This window comes from Homo sapiens, chromosome X (assembly GCF_000001405.40).
Source record: "Homo sapiens chromosome X, GRCh38.p14 Primary Assembly".
Lineage (NCBI taxonomy): Eukaryota > Metazoa > Chordata > Mammalia > Primates > Hominidae > Homo > Homo sapiens.
This window is the reverse complement of record NC_000023.11, coordinates 17,529,880-17,550,862: the sequence shown is the minus strand read 5'-3', so window position 1 is coordinate 17,550,862 and position 20,983 is coordinate 17,529,880. Positions and strand designations below refer to the sequence as shown.

The following is a 20,983-nucleotide window of genomic DNA, read 5'->3' as shown; positions in this document are numbered from 1 at the left end:
GGTCTTGTGGGCCACTCCAAAGCCAGGACTTTGGCTCATACCCTGAGTGAGTCGGCAACCTTTGAATGGTTTTGAGCAGTGGAGAGACGTGATATGACCTCTTTTAAAATGACTATCCTAGCAGTTGTATGCAAAATGGATTCGAGGTGGGCAGAGGGGGAAGTGGGAAGACCATTAGGAGGCTGCCTCAGTAATCCAGGTGACAGGCAACAGTGGCTTGGGTGTCCTCTCCCTCCTAAACTCCAGACATTCAGGGTACCTAGCAGGGCTGGAGCAAAGAGAGGAGCCCCATGGGCATCCAACTAGACCACTTCTGTGACTCCAGGCCAGACCTGCGCGGCTCAGCCCCAGGCCAGCAGACCAGCCCCTGACATTGGTGTCCAATGGCCACCCCATGGCTAAGCAATAGCAAAATCCAGGCACCCTTGGCTACATCCTGCCTTTGACTGCTCATTGCTGCAACACCATAGTGCCACTAGAGGCTGACCCAGGCATCCACCAGCCTTATCTTTAGTGAGTTAGAATCTTGAAAGCACCCAAACAATAAAACATTCGTCTCCCCAGGATGTGTCTCTGAGAGGCAATGCCAAGTCCAAGGAAGGTTTGAGATGTTCAAAAAGGAAAAGCTAAGTGTGTGGTCAGGAACAAGCTCAGACTGCCCTGTGACGTGAATTCCTTTCTGCCTCGCAAAGCCAGCCAGCTGTGTGTGTGCACGTGCGCATGCTTGTATGTATAAGCAAGATGGTGAGAGTTGTGTCTTTGAAGGCTTTGGGTATCAAGAAATCAACACCTTACCTGTTCATTTACATTTATTTTTACCATCTTAAGAAAAATCATGACCCTACAGTAAGCAGTTTAAATGCCCTGCATTTGAACTTGAGCTCCCCATTAGTAATAATGAATTCAATCTTTCTTCCAAATCCCTCGTTGTCTCTAAAAGACATCCCTTCTTGACCCAAGGGGCCTGTTCAAGTCCCCCCATCCAGACCAAAGATGTGGCCCAACTCAAACACACTTGTTCCTTTTCCAGGGCTAAAGGCTTCCCCAATTCTTTTTCTCCCCATCCCTCTTCCTGCTCCCTCCGGTCCCTCATCCCCCAGCTGTTTTCTCTGGTGCTGATATCAGCTGCCCTTCTACCTCTGAGAAGATCATCCTGAGCTTCCTCTTGGAGAATAAATGGTGCCCATTTCTGTAAGAGACTGTAGCAGCAGCTGGCACCCTGCGCCCTCACGCTTCTGCTAAACAGAAACGAGCTTTTCTGTGGTCAGCGCATCCTCACACCCACCGCTGCTGTGAAAAGCTGGCTGTAATGCCATTGAGTGCTGGGATGGAAGCTGACACTCTTGTCAGCTGAAAACCTCTAAACAGAAACAGGAGGAGAGCCCTGGGCTTGCAGGGAGGGGCATCTGACAGCTTGTCTCTTTTTCATGGTAGTGGGGAGGGTGGAGGGTGGGATGAGGCCACATTTTTGCTGAGTGTCTGGGACCAAGAGATCCAGGAACAACGGGGGCAGTTAGCACCAAAGTAGTACTTAAAGGAAAAACTCAGCCCTTCAGGCAGGAAGGCAAGGACAGTGCTTGTTGCCTTCCACAGTTTCCAGAAAAGCCTGTTATTCACAGCCACTAAAGGACCTGGCCCTGGCCTGGCCTGGCAGACACTGAAGAGGGCTGTTTTTCTGATGCTAATGTGCAGCCTAGCTTTCATTTTCTTTCTTTTTTTTTTTTTTTTAATGAGGGGCCTACTCATCTTGAAACCTTTTCAAATAGGTCTCCCCCTCCCTTTCTTCCAGTCTCTCCACCCCCACCCTCTTTGTTTTTAAGCAGGAAAACTTGTTTCCCCCAAATGCATCCATAGAGATGGGAAAATTAATTTAAACAGACATGTGTCAACCCCGTTCTTAAAAAAAAGGGACAAGTATGACGTTACAAAATTGTACTTCAGGAATCATTATGCAGAACAGAGCATGGTGGTGTCTTGATTCAACGTTCACCTTAAAAGCAAGGGGGGGCAGCCATCCCCCAGGGGCCTGTTGTCAGCCCTCTTCCTTTTCCTCTCTCTGCAGCCTAGCTTTTATTCTGCAATTCATAGATCCCCTAGGATGGGCTTCTGTGAGTCCTCTGAGGCTGTCTGGAAGATCATGCATGTATGTGGTGCATATACACATGTGGCATGTACAAGCATGTACACATGAAGATGTGTGTACAAGTGTGTGAGAGAGCATACATGTGTATGGGCACATGCATGTCTATATGTGTATGTGCATGCAGGAATGTGTGCGTGTGTGTGTGTGGTGCATGTGCATACATGCATGGCCCTAGTTTCTAGCAGTCTTGAATCTCTCCTGTAGTAAATTCATCTTTTCTCCCATCATGTCCATGTCAAGAACTCATATGATTCTACTATGTTACTACCCCCACCCCAGCCTCTGTTCCCTGGGGATCCACAAAACTGGCACATAGATGGAGCCCAGGAAAAATGTGCTGAATGACTTCAAGCAGTCTGTTAGATAGCACTGGTGTGAGACCCATCTGCACCCCAATCTGCATGGGAAAAAAAAAAACTCATTCGTCAAATCTATTCTTCCTTCTGGTTTCCTGGCTCTTAATGGCCTCACCATTTTTCTTATCAAGCTCCATGTCCTTGACACCTTCACAGTTGGCCTCCCTCTAGCCAGCCAGCCCCCTTGTGGAAACAAGCCTCCAGAATGTATCTGGTATCTATTACATCAAGCAAAAACTGTGTGCAGAATGGCCCTTGGGTCCTCCCCACCTATGCTGATTCTGGCTTGGTCTTGCAACTTGCTTTGGTCCATGAGAAAATAGCAAGTCTGACTCAAGCAGAGACATGAAGAAACACCTGTGCTTCCAGGCTTGTCCTCTCCTGCTTGCTTCTGCAGGCCCTTCCACCACCATGTGAACAAGCCCGGACTAGCCTCCTGGAAGGCACAAGACCACATGGAGAGAGGACCCAACAATGCAGCTGCTGCAGCTGAGACGCCAGCCATGGAGGTGAGGCCATCCTAGACCTTCCAGCCCTGCTGAGTCAGCTCAGACCTGGCAGTCTGCCCAGCTGACCCACAGGATCATGAGAAAGAATAAGTGTATGTGTCTGTAAGTCACTAAGTTACAGCAAGAGATAACAGAAACACCTGCATTACTTCCCCATAGCCACCACCTCTAACACTTAGCCTCATTTTTCCCAACTCAGATAAAATGTCTAAAGAAAACAGAAAACATTAAATCACATTTGGTTATATATTTAGAACGTCCCTTTATTGAAAGGAATTAAACTATATAAAATCAGGACTGTATGGGAGATGCTAAGTTAAATGGGTCACCATAATGACAGCCTAGAGACATGCAGAGTATGGCACAGAGTGGGCTCTGAATGAATACTGGCTGGACTCCTGAGCTCATCTAATCTCACTTCCGATTTTACAGATGAGAAAACAGAGGCTCAAGGAAAGTATGTGGCTTCCCTGCAACATGATGCTCAATACACGAAAAAAGGGGGTATCCAGATGACTCGTGACTTGCCTGGATCAGAGGGGTAGGGATGGGCTCAGCAGCGCCCACTGCTCACTGCTTTGAATCCACAGAGTCTGTCTGGTTGTTTGTGACTGGCACACAGCAGGTGCTCAATTAATGTCAAATGAGGACACCCATGTGGAAAACTTGTTACACTAAAGGAAAAAATCATACCTGCAGGGCCCTTCTTCTCCACTCACACAGAATCATGGAAAATGTACCACCTTCCCAATGCAAGAAAAAGTTTAGCTCTGGGCACCCTGCAGCAAATGCCTGAAGGGTGCAAAGAAAAGGAGCAGACTCCTCCTGGACCCCAGGGAGGAAAGCAGAGGCCTCCAAGAGGCCAGCATACATTGACTGCCCTCATTTATTTTATACTTTTCTCATTCTGTTGAGTCAAGGTCAACCTCCACTTGATCTGACCCCTGATCAGTAGAACAAGTCCAGGCAGCAGAACAATCAATGATCATGCCATGCCAAGGACGTGTTAAATGCCACCTTCTCCTCCTCTCATTTTTCTTCAATGAGAAAAGCTAAACTCATTTCTACGCAATCTTTCAGTGGCAGCAGCCAAGAATAAAAAAGCCCTGTGTCTTTAATTCCAGATCTTTCAGTGCTTCTCCATTCCTTGTTTCATTTATGTCACGTGCATATATGTGTGCATGTGTGTGCCATGTGTGTACAGGTGTGGTGTGAGCTCCTTGTGGGCAAGAACTGCCTTATTTATAGCTCTATCTCCAGTACCAAGCACATGCCTGGCATTCAGTTATGTGCTCAGTGAACCAATGAATGAATGAATAGATCATACTCAGAGGTTTCTCTGGGTGAGTGACCCCTTGAAGCTCCACTGTGGTTGCACCATGTAGCCAAAACATAAATTGTGTGAGCTTGAAACAAAGCCCCCGCACCATTTTTTAAGTTATTGTCTCTCAGTTTCAAACCCACTTTTTCTATACTCTGCCCTGTGATACTAGGGCTGGGACTCTGCACACCTCATTTCTGTTTTGCCAGCTGCACCCTGTTTGGCCCTGCCAGGAGGGGAATGAGACAGAGAATGGCAGGATGGAGGAAGAAGAAGGGGCTTGTGCCTCCCTTTCCTCCTGTTTCCATGAGCATTCCCTAATAATAGCCCTACATTCAGGCAGTGGCAATTGGCCCCAGAATCTAGTCCCTTTTTTTGGCAGTCCCTGAGCCAGTCTCACTGTACCCCCTCTGAGACACCAGCACTAGCCAGGCAGCACTTCCTCCTCAGGTGTCTGGGTCTCAGCTCTGCAGGGTATTAACTCCAAAGTTCTCATAACCTTAATCCCTTCCCTTTGTCAGCCCAGTCTTAAGGGTGTTCTCTGCTTTCTGCAGTTCCCATCTCTGCTACACTTTCTGCCTCTTCCATCCTCTAAGATCTGTTTAACCAATGCCTTCTGCTAAATTCTCTGTTAAAATAATTGGCATGTTGCTCTTCTCTGGGCTGAATCCCAACTGATATGGGAACTATGGTGTTTGTAGGGGTAACAGCACCTTGTGCACTCCTCCAAAAGATTAGAAGTCAGGCACAGTGACCTCCGCTTGGACTTGAATAGGACCCTTCCAAATCTGGCTCTGACCTAGAGAACAGACAAAATGCCTCATTCCTACAGCAAACAGGACACAAACAATGTCCATGGGCCTGGACACTGACCAATGTATGGAGTACCTGGACAGCAGACACTCCAAAAATATTTATTGAACAAATGAATGGGCCCATGGCAGAGACAGCTATGGACTCCCCAGGCAGGAGCTGGACTACATTTCCCAATTGCTCTTACAGTCAGGGGTGCCCATGTGAATGAGTCCTGGCCAATGTGATGTACACCACTTCCAAACCTGGCCCACAGACATCTCCTACCGGTAAGATTCCTCTGTGGACTGGCCAGGTATAGACGATCCAACGGAAAACTCTAGAGTGGAAGAGCCTGGTTTCCGAACGACCAGGTGGAGGACCTCCTGCCAAATGTTGAAACAGAAAACGTTGAAATGGGACTATTAGCCGAGCAAATAATAAATGTCTATTGTATTAAGCTGCTGAGATTTGGGAATTGCTTGTTCCAGCAATTAGCCTCCCCAGATCAATAAAGAGGCCAAGGGCACAAGTTTGATCTCTAGCCCTGGCCATCACACTCTTCAATGCAGGCTTTGGGGCATGAAGGTGGCTAAGCAGGAATTTGGATGATCAGCACAAGCTCATTTCAACACCTGGAGGAACAGCTCAAAGGGCACAGCCTCCTGACAGCAGGTCCCTGCCCAGCAGGGAGAGCACATGATTACAAGCAGTCCTTCCATCCTGAAAATGGAGTCAGCCAGTTCTGGGGCCTCACATAGGTAAATCTATGGAATGATTAACCAAACTGACTAGCTCCTGCAGAGTTAGTGTCGCTGGGACTCTTCACAGAATAACAAAAGATCATCTGCCCGGGATGACTTTAGACATTGAACTTGGAGGAAAGAGACTGAGCTAAGTGATTTTTTCCAATTAATAAATAAAGTGTTGTCTGGGTGTGGTGGCTCATGCCTGTAATCCCAGCACTTTGGGAGGCTGAGGCAGGTGGATCACCTGAGGTCAGAAGTTCAAGACCAGCCGGGCCAACATGGCAAAACTCCGTCTGTACTAAAAATACAAGAATTAGCTAGGCATGGTGGTGGGTGCCTGTAATCCCAGCTACTCAGGAGGCTGAGGCAGGGAGATTCGCTTGAACCCGGGAGGCAGAGGTTGCAGGGAGCCAAGATCGCGCCACTGCACTCCAGCCTGGGCAACAGACAGAGACTCTATCTCAAATAAAAATAAATAAATAAATAAATAAAGTATTTTTATTGGAAAAATAGTATATGGTCATTGAGAAAATAATCAGAAAATCAGCAGAAGGAAAAAAGTCCATAGTCGTACCATTGCACCATCCAGACAAATCAATGTCAAATGTTGATACATTTCCTTCTTGAATTTTTGCCTGGCTTATATTTTTTACATGGTGGGGATTATACACAAAGCATCATGGTTAAAAATTGAGTCCAAATTGTCGGATTCAAATCCTATCTCTGTCGCTTTCCAGCCCTACAACATTGAACAAGTCACTTCACTTCTTCGTGTCTCCATTTGTTTATCTATAAAATGGGGACAACAATTCTAATCTCATTCAATTTGTAGCAAGAATTAAATGACGTTATACATGATAATACTTAGCATAGCGTCTGCCTGGCTGAGACAAAGCACTTAAGAGATATTAGCTATTGTTATAGGCTATGGACAGACTTAATCAATCTTGATTGAAAGAAAATATTATCTAGGTTTTCTGACTATAAAAGTGACATTTCCTAATTGTGGGCAATTAGAACAATCTGGAAAGAAATTATAAGAAAGAAACCATGATTTATATATGCCCCGCAGCTCCATCTCTTTATCTTCATTTTGGCCTTGAAGGGCCCCAAACCAAGGTACTCCTAGAATCCAGGCACTTTTAAGTGAAGTAGCTCCTGGTATCAAAAGGAAAAAGAGGAGGGGGCATGGAAAAGGGAGCAAAATCCCGAACTCTGAAGAGAAGCACTGACACAGGAAGATGTTAGGGGAAATTGACAGGACATGGAGAGCCATCTAGCCTCTTATTTTGATAGTAATAGTCTTTGATTTCATGTCTCATAACTACAAAAACAAAAAACAAAACAAAAAAAACAAGAACTGCCTACAGAGTATTTCTGAAGCACCCTTATTTTCCTCCCTGCATGACCTCTGTACAAGAGAAGCAGACAATGCGCATGTTTTCCTTCCATCAGCTCCGTCTGCCTTCCCTGGGAAGAGGAACCCATACTTATCTGTGACTGGAATATGTTCTGACTTCTAAGTAGCGTCAGGTTCAGCAATGGGATCAACCTTCAAGCTCTAAGCATTTCCTAGTTATGTTAGTTTTTCCAGGCATTAGCTTCTGCCTTTTCATCTTATCAGTGCTTAGGACAATGTTAAGCATTCATTCTGCAGCCAAATGGAATAGGAGTTGCAGGCAGGTAAAGCAAGAACTAAGGCGAAACGCACTGTATCCATCCCTCAAATGCATCAGAATATCTGTTGCAGATAAGGATAATGCTGCCCTGTGGCTTATACCAATGCTGCCGCTCAAAGTGTGACCCGTGGGCCAACATCACCAGTAGCACCAGGGAATTTGTTACAAATAAAGACCTGTAGAATCAGAATCTCTGGGGGCAGGGCTCAGAAATCTGCATTTTGACCAACTCTCCTGATGATTATTATGTACTAAAGTTTGAGAAGCACTGGTTTATACCACCTCCCCCAGAGGATAAAACATATATGAGGACATTATTAATAATATACAAGTAATCATAACAGCTAACATTAATTGAATAAATACTGTGTGTTATATACTGTGTTATTACTTATATCTCCTTTACTCCTCATAAAAATCCTACAAGCTGGATATAATTATTCTACCAATTTTGTAGACGAGACAACTGGGGCTTAGAATGCTCATATAACTTGCCCAAGGTTATCCAGCCTAGAAGTCATGGATTTTGAGGTTGAACCCAGGTCTGAGTACTACACGCCTCAACTTTCTCTGTCTCTGTGGTCTGTTTCTCACCCATTTCTCTCTCTCTCTCTCTCTCTCTCTGGATTCAGGACTTCCATAAGGAAAAGTTCCCTTTGTGTCACTTTGTAGAAGCTCTACCTTCTCTGGATTCAGACATGTGAATAATAAATGCTTCTGAAGCTGACCCAGCAAGCCACAATTGCTTGGAGAAAGAAAATTGCAAGGAAATGGCCAACCCCCTTCAATGTCTTTGGCATTAGTTGTAATGACAGCCAGGCAGGTTCAAGCATCCTCAGGGCACTGCTGCAGTGGAACTGGTTGGCACAACCATGGTGGCATGCTTGGCACTGTCCTTGTTCCTGCTGGCATGGGCCAATGCCAGGAAGGAATAAGCACCAGTGCCAGGCAGTGATGCCAAGTTTCCCCAGTGGGCTGCTTTGCCGCAGCAGGTCAGGCAAGTGGCAGAAATGTAAAAACTGCTCCTCTGCAACCGGAGAGCAGGCATGCAAGTACACAGAACCCTGGCAGGCTCTCCACAGGCTGCTTCAAAAGGCCCTGGCCGTCTTGCAGGACAATGTTGGCAGGGAGGTAGGGCAGAGATGGCTTGTGGCAGGCCTGGCTCTGTAATGGATGTCAAGCAATCAGCAAACAATGACTTGTCAAACCAAGAAGATCAAGCCCTCCTTGCCATGCCTCTTTTGAAGCTTTAGATGTCCCTACTGGTTTGTTTTTCAATGTTTTCTCTTCTCATTGTTTCCCAAGGAAATTGGGATTACAAGCTATTGGATAAGAGATGCTCCCAAGAGAGAAGGGCAAGAGCTAAGCAAGGCGAAGGTCTCCAGCAAAGTTCCACTGAGGTCGCACAGGGAACTCTAGAGTGTGAGTTTACACCTCAAAGTTGTCTCAATTTGAGGTAAGGCAGCTGGGCTCTTGTACCCATCAGTCTTTGGCTAAAGTGTGTGTGTGTGTGTGTGTGTGTGTGTGTGTGTGTGTGTGTGTGTGTTCGCAAACTCAGATACCTTGGGCTCTTTCATCCTGGGATCAATGCAGGTCCAATAGTCCAAAGATGAGCTGCAGGGCTGGCCGCTGAAAGCCCATCAAAGCTGAAGTGGGGGAAAGACCCTTAAAAAATTCCAGAGGGTCTGGACAGAGTAACTACATTCTTTACTTACGTGCATCTTACTTTATATTTTATTAACATGTGATAAATGTTATCTGTAAAGTAAAAATCATTATCATTATCAACATTCAATTTACAGGTTTAACCACACACCCTGCATTGCAGAGTGGGCTGTATCACCACTCCCACTCCCAGTATGTTACTAAGCTGTTCACCTTCACAATCACCCTGTGAGGTAGAAGGAAGACAAATACCACTTAAACCCCCTCCAGAGGGAAAAATGGAAAGATTTGTCCACTAAAGCATTTTACGCATCTCATAGAAAAGCCTTGTGCAGGAACCAGTCACATTCAAACCTGGCTCTGAAGTCAGACTATCTGAGTTTGACTCTCAACTCTGCTACTTAACTCCAGGCAAGTCTCTTAACCTCTTTGTGCCTTGGTTTCCTCATCTGTGAAATGAGAACAATGGCAGTGTCTATCACATGGCATTGTGGAGAAAGTCACATGGGTTGATTCAAGTAATCCACTAAAGGCAAGGCAAGGAGTACATAATAAATTTTTTTTTTAATTTACTTTTTAGACAGGATCTGACTCCATCACCCAGGTTGGAGTACATTGGTGCAATCTTGGCTCATTGAAACCTCTGCCTCTCAGATTCAAGCAATCCTCCCGCCTCAGCCTCCCAAGTAGCTGAGACTACAGGCACACACCACCATGCCCAGCTAATTTTTTGTAGAGACGGAGTCTCGCCATGTTGCCCAGGCTGGTCTTGAACTCCTAGGCTCAAGTGATCCACCCGTCTTGGCCTCCCAAAGTGCAGGGATTACAGGCATAAGCCACCGTGCCCAGCCCACACAATAAACATTCAATCAGTGTGAGCCCTTACAATTGTGATGATGCTCATTATTTAAAGACTCTTGGGAAATGACTTGTGTTTTGCCCTAACCAGAGTTCAGATAAGTGAAATTAATTTTCCCAAGTTCTTCAGAGGGTTGACGGTTTATCAAGAACTAGGATCCAGATTTCATCATTTCTGTTCTCTTCTGCCCACCCTCTCTCCACCACCCAAATCAGATGCCTAGTAGTTTTGGCCTGATCTGTTTTTCTCTCCCTCAACCTGACATTCTACTTTCTCAAATAACAAAGTCACATGCTGTATAGACACAGAACTCATATGTAGCTCTTCTGGCCCAGACTGCTTTAGCTTTTATCACTCACAATCTCTTCTGCCTTTTCCTGGTGGCAAAATTTGCCATTCTAAAGAACCCAGGTCAAGGCCCAAATGCACCAAGAAACCCCCTGATAGTCCCATGTCACAGAATTTGCTTCCTTTTCTGAATGTAAAGGCATAATGCTATGTCTACCTGGCTGAGATATTGCATCTGTAAGAGAGATGGAGTCCTCAGCAACTCCTCCCTAGGGTTACTGTGGAAGTCATAAGTTAAAGTATGAGTGTGTTCAACATACCATGTTGAACATCTGCCCTATGGTACAAAGATTATTAACGAATGAGAAAGTATGGGCTCAGAGTGAAATGACTTTCCCATAGCAACACCACTAGTACTTAATTCTATTGGTTAGAATAGGCTAGGTTATGCTGTAGCAACAAATAACTCCAATATTAAAGGTTTGCTTTTTGTTCACATCACATGTCCAAAGCAGGATAGTGGAAGCCTCTGTTCCACATGATTACTCAGGGATCCAGGCTGACACAGGCTCCACCATCTCCACATGTGGCTTCAGGGTTTGCTGAGGCAGGTGACAAGAGCAAACAGAAACCTCACACCTGCTCTTCTATACTGAAAGCCCACTGGCCAGAACTAGTCATGTGACCCTGCCCCATTAAAGAGCACTGAGGAGTGTAAGATTCCATGTGCCCAAAGGAGGGGAGAGCTGGATATTGGTGAGCTGGTAATGTTTAGAATTTTGGAGGAGCTGGATTTTGAACCTAGGGGTTCCAACCAAGGTCTGCTAGGGTCCAAAGCCTCTGTTCTGTCTACTGCACAAGGAGAAACTTCCCTGGGGATGCTTCAATTTTAGGGCAGAAAGGTCCCAGACATGTGCTAGGAGCTAGAGAAGGGAGGAAAAAGAGAAAACATGTTCTAATTGCCACTGATCATTCATTCGATAATTTTGTTTAGCATCTACTATGTGCCAGGCACAATTCTAGGCACTGGAGATACAGCAGTGAACCAGACACAGGTCTCTGACCCCATGAAGCTTATATTCAAGAAAGGCCAAGCAGAGAAGCAGATACATGGTGTAAAGTTAAATAAACCAATTATATGCTATGTCGCAGAGCATTAAGGACTGTGGAGAACCATCAAGCAGGGAAGGAGGACAGAGAAAGGGAGTGGTTGTGTGCTGTTTTAAATGGGGTAGTTGGGAAGGGCCTCACTAACCAATAAGGCAAGATATGACTCTCTCCTAAAGAGGAAAGAGCCAGAGCCATGCTTTCAGGGGAAAGCATTCCAGGCAGAGGGAACAGCAAGGGCAAAGGCCTTGAAGGAAGACCCTGCATATATGGTAGGCTTAAGAAGCAACAAGGGGGCAATGCAGTGGGGATGCAGTGAGAAAGAGGAAAAATGGTAGAGGTGTCATGAGAGACGCATGTGGGTAGAGGGCATGTGCCCATCATGTAGACTCCTGTAGGTGCTTGGGACTCTGGCTTTTACTGGAAATAAAATGGAAAGCCAAAAAGCCTGGCTGAAAGGGAGGCAGAAAGACAAGGGCAGTGGCTAGACAGGGAAGCAGGAGAGAGGGAGAGTCACTGTACATCCAACCTGGACATCTAATGCGCTCCCAGGAAGAAGAGAAGTGTACGCCCCACTTAAGAGCAAAGAAAAGCGGTTTTGATCTGTCTGTGCAACATTGGGCACCCAGAGAAATGCTTTCCTGGCCTCAGAAAGGTTGGCTTCCCCACAAGCTAAGGAAATTGATGAGAGCATGACCAGAAATCTATCCGGTGAAGCCCCTTCCCACTTTGCACGTGTTCATGGCTTCTTGCTCCGTACACCTATGACCCTCTCCCTGAGGGCTTTCTCTGGTCACTGGAGCACAGAAGTGCCAGGACTCAACATCTCTGGGAGCAATCAGCAAAGGGCAGGAATTATGAAGAACACCCCAGCTTCCTCACCTCCTAGGCAGGAAACTCTGACGTGTGTTCTGCTTAGTTTCCCAGAGGTCCCCAACAGGACGAAGCCCCAATTGCCCACGCTGGGAGCCTACTCTTTAGTGCACCTATGTCAGCTTCCTTCTCGTCCCTGTGTTACCTCTCCAGGCCCTAACCACTGCTTCCAGGACCCCCCTGAGCAAAGAGCATTTGCTCCATTCCTCATGTCATGTCTGCTTTTAGAGGAAGCCAACCTAAGACACTGACAGAGTCCAGGAAAGGCAGTGCACTTTTACAGGTCTCAGCTCCCGCACCTGAAAATGAGGGTGTGAGACTATATGAGTCCAGGAACCTTGCCAGCCTGCAGATGAGGAAATGCACAAACCTGAAATCTGAACTCAAGAAGTTCATGCTCCTGACCTGCCTCCAATTCCACCCTCTCTCCTCTCTGCGAAAGAGCCAAAGTCCCACTAGCCCTGGGAATGCTTGGCCTTCCGCAAGATGGGGGCACTGGAGGCCTCCACAGCCAGGCTGAGCAGGAAGCCCTCCTGCCCGTGGCTGGCTCTGCAATTCTCCCTTCCTGTGGATGTGCTGGGAACAGCTTCCCTTTTGTTTTCCCCTCTGATCCCCATCTGCTCAGCAACTGCCCAAATTCAATTCAGGCGTCGCGTGCCCCCAGCCTCCAGTCGGGCATTGTCTCTTAGGAATCACTCCAATCCCCCCAAACAAAAGCCCTCAAATCTGAATAAACCCTCTGACATCAGCCTGGCGGGTCAGGAAGCTGAGCAGGACAGTCCCCACTCCCGCCTCTTTTAAACCCTTTGGCTTTGCTGACCTTTGTCTAACCCCTAATGCAACATAGTCTCCTGTCACTGCTAGGCCAGACACCACATTTCCTACTTGACTTAGCCACTCTGCTGAGCCAACAGGCCACCTCCATTTTGGGGGGACCTGATACTTTTCTTTTTTGAAGTTCAACTTTGTCCTTTTACAGAAATTCACCTCCAAAGTGTCTGATTTTTGAGAAGTTAGCTCAGGATAGCACCAGGCAGGACCCTGTCCTTATCTCTGCCTGGGGCAGGCTAGGAAGCATATTACTGGAAGTTTTTCAGCTACATAATTTACTTCCAATTCACTTTGCTTTCTCCTCCTCATCCAAAGAGATTCTGTCTTCTTCTAGGTGTAGATTTGCTCCAGTTTAAACCTTTAATCACAGGAATTTCATTGTTCATTATGCTTGGATCACATTTAAAGATAAAGCTCTCATCTCCTAATGGTGCTTTTGATCGAACTTAGCTGGTCAGTTTTGCTGATTCCAAAACCTAACAGAACAGGCAAAACATCTACCAGAAACTTCACTTCAAGTTTGGTGCCATATACGTGCCCGAGATGGGACAGATGGAAGGAAGATGCCCCACTTATCCTTTTTTTGTAAATTGGTCTTTGTCTTGCTTGGACATGACAAGAGTCTTTGCTTTGCTTTCCATCTGGCAAGACTTTGCTGCTATTTCAATACATTTCATGACTCATATTTCAATTTATCTCCACAGTTCAATCACTTTATAGAAAATCAAGATTAGAATTCCCCAAAAGTTTCCTTCCTGGAAAAATTCAACTCACCATACACCATAAAAGCCTGGTAGCATGGTCTTCAAATACCGTCTTAGAATGGAAAAAAAGAGGCTTTGCAAAGAAACATTCTCAAAGGTTTCATGCAACGAACAAGAACAACTTGTTGATTAGTCAACACAGTACCCATTTATAGAAAGTTTCCTACGTGTCAGACAGTGGTTAGGTGTGTGGCATAAGTGAGACCTATCTTGCCCACACAAGAATATACTTTTAGATTTTCTTAAAGAAAAAGAAGCAATTTATTGGGTTCCTCTAACTTTTCTGTAAGAAAGAGAAAATCCCAAACCACCCCACTAGCAGAACAACAAATGGTTCAGGAATAAATCAATAAATCACAAATCTGACTCTGACTCAGAAGGAGCAACCCTTCCAGTACTTTTTCCTTCCCTCTATACTCTACACATGGATCTCTGACTAGGTAGAGACAGCTGGAGATGTTATTGCCCAGGGATGAGCTGGCTGTAAGAAAGAGCCAGTGCTTTTGGAACACACATAGGTCCGAATGCAAGTTTTTTGTTTGTTTGTTTGTTTTTTGTTTGTTTGTTTTTTTGAGACGGAGTCTCGCTCTGTTGCCCAGGCTGGAGTGCAGTGGCGCGATCTCGGCTCACTGCAAGCTCCGCCTCCCAGGTTCCCACCATTCTCCTGCCTCAGCCTCCTGAGTAGCTGGGACTACAGGCACCCGCCACCACGCCTGGCTAATTTTTTGCATTTTTAGCAGAGACGGGGTTTCACTGTGTTAGCCAGGATGGTCTTGATCTCCTGACCTCATGATCCGCCTGCCTTGTCCTCCCAAAGTGCTGGGATTACAGGCGTGAGCCACTGCGCCCAGCCCAAATGCAAGTTTTTAAAGTTCATCACCAGCTACAGACACAGGGAAGACCTGTCAAATGAATGAAGGGGGAACTTGGCCAAGGAGTTTAGGGAAGCAGAGGGAATGAGTTAAATGTTCCCTTCTTCGACATTTCAGGAAGGAGGCAAGTCAGTGGTTATTTCTGACAATACAGAATCTATTCAAGAGTTACCAGCTGGGTGCAGTGGCTCATACCTGTAATCCCAGCACTTTGGGAAGCCAAGATGGGAGGATCACTTGAGCCCAGGAGTTCAAGAACAGCCTGGGCAATGTAGCAAGATCCCATATCTACAAAAAGCTTTTTAAAAAATAGCCGAGTGTGGTGGTGGGCACCCGTGGTCCCAGCTACTTGGGGGGCTGAGGCAAAATGATTGTTTGAGCCCAGGAGTCCAAGGTTGCAGTGAGGACCTGTGATCACACTGCTGCATTCCAGCCTGGGTGACAGAGCAAGACCCTGTCTCTAAAAGAAAAAGTTAGCATTCGGCCACTCCTCACCACTCCCCAGACTGAAATATACCATGGTGGGCGCTATCCCAGTCTGAGGTTCTTGATCAATCAACTCACCTTAGGATGTCAAAACTAGAGCAGACGAGAAATATCTGTTAGCGGTGTTTGACTAGGGATGGTGCTGCCCCCTACAGGTATATGGCAGTGTTGGGGGTGCTTTTGGTTGTGACTAGGAGAGGGCCTTCCTTACTGCTTCTAGTAGGCACAGAGATTCTAGATGACCTGGAATGCTCAGTTCATCCCATGCAACAAATCATTGTTCCACCTGATCCACCTATCACACCCCAGCAGAAGCAACCTGTGACCATCATTTTATAGAAGAGGGACAAAATCTCAAGAAATCCCCAAGGTCAGAGGAAATGGTGGGATATGTTTGGGAGATGCTTTCAGGAAACATAGTGGGAGAGGGGGTAAGTGAGACGGGGAAGGGAAGGAAGCTATAAAGGTAGGTTATGAAACAGGTTTCTGCCACAGGCAACTGAGGTTCAATCTTGTTTGGAGACTCTGGGAGACACTGTAGTACACAGCTCAGAGCTGGCCCACCTGAGAAGTGAGGAAGCTAGGGTATTGATTCTCCAGCTCTCATCTTTCATTGACTGAAGGCTGTTCAGGAACATTAATCCCCAGGCACTCTGGGCCTGCCCTGCTCGAAGGCTGACAGAAAGCCCTCAGGAAGAGAACTGCAGACACTTGGAGTAGGACACTCTCCAGGTGTGCACTGGGACACCAGATGCCAAGAACTTGTGGGTGGGCACCAATAGCATCTGCTAGAAAAGCAAGGACAAACATTGAACATGAATCTGGGCACTTATTCAGTTCCTGAATCAAACAACCAGGGCCTGTGGAAATTGTTGGAAATGATTTTTTATAAACTTGCCTTTATGCTTGGAAGAGTCCATACAATTAAATTTTGGAACCCCACAGTGGATTTGGCCAAGGGTCTCTCATGAAGCCATAGACCCTGGGGAGTTGCCATTTATGGGGCCACTAGAGTCATTAGAGTCATAACTAGAATTTTAACTTCTCTCTTTGAAGACATTGCTGCTTTCTGAGCTCTTGTCCCTAACTTTCAAAACAGGAAAGCTACAGCAACACAAAAATCCACCAAGAGCCACCTAGGTCTCCAACATGAGGGCGTGTGCTGGCTAAGCAAAGGTAGCTATAGGCCTGGGGGAAGAAAAACATGGCATTACTTCCCAAAATCAATGTCCCAGGCATCGCTAACCACACTGGCCTCCTTGTGACCTTCTTCTTCAGGAGGCATTCTCTAATGTTCTCTCATCAAAATATACAATTTTCTGCTCATGAAATCAACTCATAGTCTCAATCCTATGAATTCCTTCCAAAGACCCACTGGCTGCCAGGGCATCATGAATGCATCCTGGGCAAAGTGTGTTAATGTGAGAGTAGACACACGTGTGTATGCACACACACACACACACACACACACAATGACCTTTCAGGCAACAGTCCGAAGAAGGCTTTCTTCCTCTCAGTAGGTTAGAGAACTCATCATCAAAAGGGAGAAAACAGTAAAATATCACACTTATAGACTCCCTTAATTAGGTTTTGTAATTAATTCTGTTAAGTGCTGACAAGACTTTTGCTCAAGAAAAGTGCATATTAATGGCAAGAGAAGAGAAACAACAATTTATTGGACATAGTGTTAGACATTTCTGTATTTATGTCATGTAATCTTCAAAACAGCCCTCAGAATAGGCATTACTATTAACCTCATAGTGCAGGCCATGAAAGCAAGACTTAGAGAGGCTGTGGGGGCTGCCCAAGGTCATGGGACCCAAAGGGCTGTGTCAGGAAGCAAACTCAGTTCTCCAAGACCCAAGACCATGCCTATGACCCCAGCCCTGTCCATCTTCCTAGCAGGAGTCATCACTTTGTGCTCAGTACTTGAAAGTGATTATTCCCTGATTGCTTTAAAAGTCATAATTTTAAAAGTCAACAAGGCCAGGGCCAGTGGTTCACACCTGTAATCCCAGCACTTTGAGAAGCAGAGGCAGGTGGACTGCTTGAGCTCCGGAGTTCAAGACCTGGGTAACATACAGAGACCCTGTCTCTATAGAAAAAATACAAAAATTAGCCAGGCGTGGTGGTGCATGCCTGTAATCCCAGCTACTTGGGAGGCTGAGGCAGGAGGATCACTTGAGCCTGGGAGGTCGAGGCTACAGTGAGCCATGATCGTGTCATCGCACTCCAGCCTGGGTGACAGAGCAAAACCCTGTCTCACTCAAAAAAATAAAAATCAACGAGCAACCTTACAAAAAAAGGTTGCCGAAAAATCTGTAAAGGACTTAAGCACACAGACTCACACACTGGAGACGATTCCATATAGAGCCATGCCAATGACTTTCACTTCTCTAAGAGCTTTGGCCCTCTCCCATGTCTTTGCTGCCCCCACACTCCTGTGTGGTGGGCGGGGCAGACACTTGCCAGCAACTTACTGGCCTTTTCTGGTGATGGTTGTTGTTCATTATAGAAAAATCCACGTAGGTCTTTGGTAGGCCCTGCTCTGCAGAGCTAATACTCATCATAACAATAGATTCAGCATCTCTATACTACAGGCATTGTGCTGAATGCCTCACACTCAGGATTTTATTTATTCCTCCCCATGGCTCTACTGGTAGAAGCTATTATACCCATTTCATAGATGAGAAACTAAGGCTCAGATAAGTTAAGAAAAGGGCCCAAGTTGCCCACCAGTAAGTGGCCGGGCCAGGGTTTGAACCCAGGTTAGTGCAAAGCGGAAGCCATTTCTATGTAAATGAATCAATCCATCGAGGCACACTTCTTTAGCCCTGATTATATGCCAGTTAGTTTACTCCAGAACCCCAGCCCTAGCCCCTGCCTTGGTCTGGGCTTTCTTCCAATAATGTTGGCATTTTCACTGAAGGGCCAAGATCTCATCCCTTCCTGGGAGACATTCTATAGACCATATCTCATGGTGACGTCTCAGGCTCTCTGAATTTGCTCTTGTCTTTGTAAAGGAGGAAGCCTTCAAATGCACAGTGAGGGGAGCACTGAGGTTGATACGAAACTCAAGGCACACTTCTGGTGCCATCGTCCATACTGTTACTGAATTCTTTACTGCTAGGAAGGTCTCCAGGGACCAGCCATCTGCTTTTCCTCCCTTCAAGGGCAGGGACTATATCATTCATCTTTGTTTCCTGGGGCTCCGGTCCAGTGCCTGGCATATAATCAGGGCTAAAGAAGTGTGCCTCGATGGATTGATTCATTTACATAGAAATGGCTTCCGCTTTGCACTAATTAAAACCAGAGCAAAGAAGTCTTCCTGACCTCGAGGGCCAATTCATGCTACCAATTATCTAGACATTCAGAGCTGAATTCTTATATATTTAAAACAATTTTAAAAAGTTTTCATTTTCCAGTGTCATATTTTAGGAGTCTATGTGGGGTGTGAACCACTGCATGGAGCTGCAAAGGATCCCACTGGCTTCACCAACAAATATTTGTTGGGTGCATTCTAGATACCAGCTCCTGGGGAGACAAGAATCAACACAAATGAATGGGTCCTCACTCCATGAAACTTACAGTCTAGCAGGAGAGACACGCATTAATCCAATTGTCACACTTTGGATATATAACTGCATAGGGCAAAAAGCACTATGAGGATAAGAAGGAGGGTCAACAACAAAGGAATCTCACTGGCTGGAGAAGGTCAGAGAAAGCCTCCCTGGGGAAGCTTGAGGGGCCATTGGCAGGATGCTGAGGCACTAAGCAGGTGAGGTGGGGCTGGAGAAAGCACCTCAGCTTGTGCAAAGGCCCTGTGGGGGCCTGAAAATAGGCCAGCGTGGCTGCAGCACAAAGCCAAGGGAGGGCAGCAGAGAGAAAGACAGAAGCATAGCCAGGGCCCACCCTAGAGGCCTTCAGGGCCATGCTCAGGATTGTAGGCTACGACCAATGGTGTCACAGAAAGAGCTGAAGCAGTGGCAGAGGAGGAGGGGGGAATAATGGTGCGGGAAACTTTGAATAGGTCACTTGGACTTGATAGTAGAAAAGAGACTGGACAAATGCAAGAGAGGCTACAAGGAGACCTCCAAAGACAGCTGCAGGAGAAGATGGGGCTTAGACCACAGGGGTGGTAGTTAGGGTAGAGGGCAGAAGAGGGATCTGAGAGACACTGGGCAGTGAAATGAATGATCCTGGTGATGGATTAGGGGGACAGTGAGGGAGGGGGAGGCCCACTTCCAGCTTGCAATCTAACTGGGAAGGCTGGGGCACCAGGGGAAGAACTGGGGGGCCACTGAAGGGGGATGAGAAAGCTCAGAGTGGCCAGGAAAGGAAAGTGTGGGTTTGGATTCACAGCTAGGAAATGGGGGAGGTTTATAAGGGGGAGGTACTGGCCTCTCCAAAAGGAGGAAGGGGAAGGGAATTAAAAGCATGAGGCAGGGGGCAAGGGTAGCCTGGCTGGTGCGAGGGTTTCCATGGAGAGAGAAATAAAGGCTGCCAGAAGGGCCAGGGTTCCTCGAGAGCAGCTATTCCCAATGTGTGCTCCTCCACCTCACCAGAAGCATGGGCATCACCAGGGAACCTGTTTGAAATGCAGATTTGGCTGGCAGGGTGGCTCCCGCCTGAAATTCCAGCACTTTGGGAGGTTGAGGCAGGGGAATCACTTGAGGCCAGCAGTTCAAGACCAGCCTAGGAATTTGAGGCTGCAGTGAGCTATGATTGTGCCACGGTACCCAAACCTGGGCGGCAGAGTGAGACCTTGTCTGAAAAAAAAAGAAAAAAGGATGAAATGCAGATTCTCTGGCCCTGACCCAAACCTGATAGATTCAAAACTCTGAGAGTAAGGCTGAGCAATCTGTGTTTTAATAGGATTGTTGAAACAAATTCCAATATATGCTCAAATTTGATAACCACTGCCCTGGACCAGCGCTTCTGAAACATTAATGTGCGTCTGAATCACCTGGGGATCATGTTAAACAGCAAATTCAGATTCAGTCGGTCAGCAGTGGAGCCCTGATTCTGCATCTCTAACCAGCTCCCAGGGGAGACGATACTGCTAGTCCAAGGACCACACTTTGAGTAGCAAGGGTCCAAATCATCCCTTCACCCCATTCTGAGAGGTTAAGGGACTATCCACCTGCTTGCTGGTGACAAATGGGGTCGGTAGCACTCAACATAAGCCAAAACATCCATCTCTCCAGAAACCTGAGAAATGTCATGCTCCTTAACTGAATTTCCTCCACATTAAAGTCCAGCACTGGCGTCTCTCTCGGCAGGGCTGAAAAACCTAATGGCAGATAGAAATAAGCCATTCCCATCCGGTGACCTGGCTGGAGAGGGAGAGGAGGGGAGGGGATTTAAATCCAGAGATCTCTGGACACGTTCACTGAAAGTCACTTTCAAGTTATTCTCGAGCTATTTTAAAATGATTAACCCCTTTCAGAGGGGAGTTTGACTAGCTTCAACTTGGAGTCAGTGCAGGGAAAGCATCTTTGTTCTTTCCTCTCTGTGGCCCAGAAATAGAGGGAAGAAAAAAGGAAACCCCCTTGGCTGCCACAGAAGAGCCTAAAGGACATGAAGCAGCCTGCACATCCAGAGAGTCTCCAAGCGAAGTGAAAGGCACATGTCAACAGGGGACACCAAAGGTAAAACAAACTCAAAAGACAGGATGCAGTTGGTTTTA

At 46.5% G+C, this 20,983-nt stretch overlaps 1 protein-coding gene and 1 long non-coding RNA gene across 3 annotated transcripts in view, besides 4 other annotated features; both read right to left on the bottom strand.

Annotated features, from left to right (window-relative positions):
• NHS (NHS actin remodeling regulator) overlaps positions 1-20,983 on the bottom strand; it is a 360,795-nt gene that overhangs the window by 185,132 nt on the left and 154,680 nt on the right. The window lies entirely within an intron of this gene.
• LOC101928389 (uncharacterized) overlaps positions 1-20,983 on the bottom strand; it is a 58,726-nt gene that overhangs the window by 36,298 nt on the left and 1,445 nt on the right. The gene's annotated exons all lie outside the window — the stretch shown is intronic.
• Positions 1,271-1,784: an enhancer, noted in NCBI's record as "NANOG-H3K4me1 hESC enhancer chrX:17567200-17567713 (GRCh37/hg19 assembly coordinates)". NCBI's record gives its function as "activates a minimal SCP1, AML or CMV promoter by ChIP-STARR-seq in naive H9 embryonic stem cells {active_cell/tissue: H9 hESC(naive)}" and the evidence as "EXISTENCE:reporter gene assay evidence [ECO:0000049][PMID:30033119]".
• Positions 2,300-2,814: an enhancer, noted in NCBI's record as "H3K27ac-H3K4me1 hESC enhancer chrX:17566170-17566684 (GRCh37/hg19 assembly coordinates)". NCBI's record gives its function as "activates a minimal SCP1, AML or CMV promoter by ChIP-STARR-seq in primed H9 embryonic stem cells {active_cell/tissue: H9 hESC(primed)}" and the evidence as "EXISTENCE:reporter gene assay evidence [ECO:0000049][PMID:30033119]".
• Positions 2,815-3,331: an enhancer, noted in NCBI's record as "H3K27ac-H3K4me1 hESC enhancer chrX:17565654-17566169 (GRCh37/hg19 assembly coordinates)". NCBI's record gives its function as "activates a minimal SCP1, AML or CMV promoter by ChIP-STARR-seq in primed H9 embryonic stem cells {active_cell/tissue: H9 hESC(primed)}" and the evidence as "EXISTENCE:reporter gene assay evidence [ECO:0000049][PMID:30033119]".
• Positions 2,824-2,933: an enhancer, noted in NCBI's record as "active region_29458". NCBI's record gives its function as "activates an Ori minimal core promoter by ATAC-STARR-seq in GM12878 lymphoblastoid cells {active_cell/tissue: GM12878}" and the evidence as "EXISTENCE:reporter gene assay evidence [ECO:0000049][PMID:35858748]".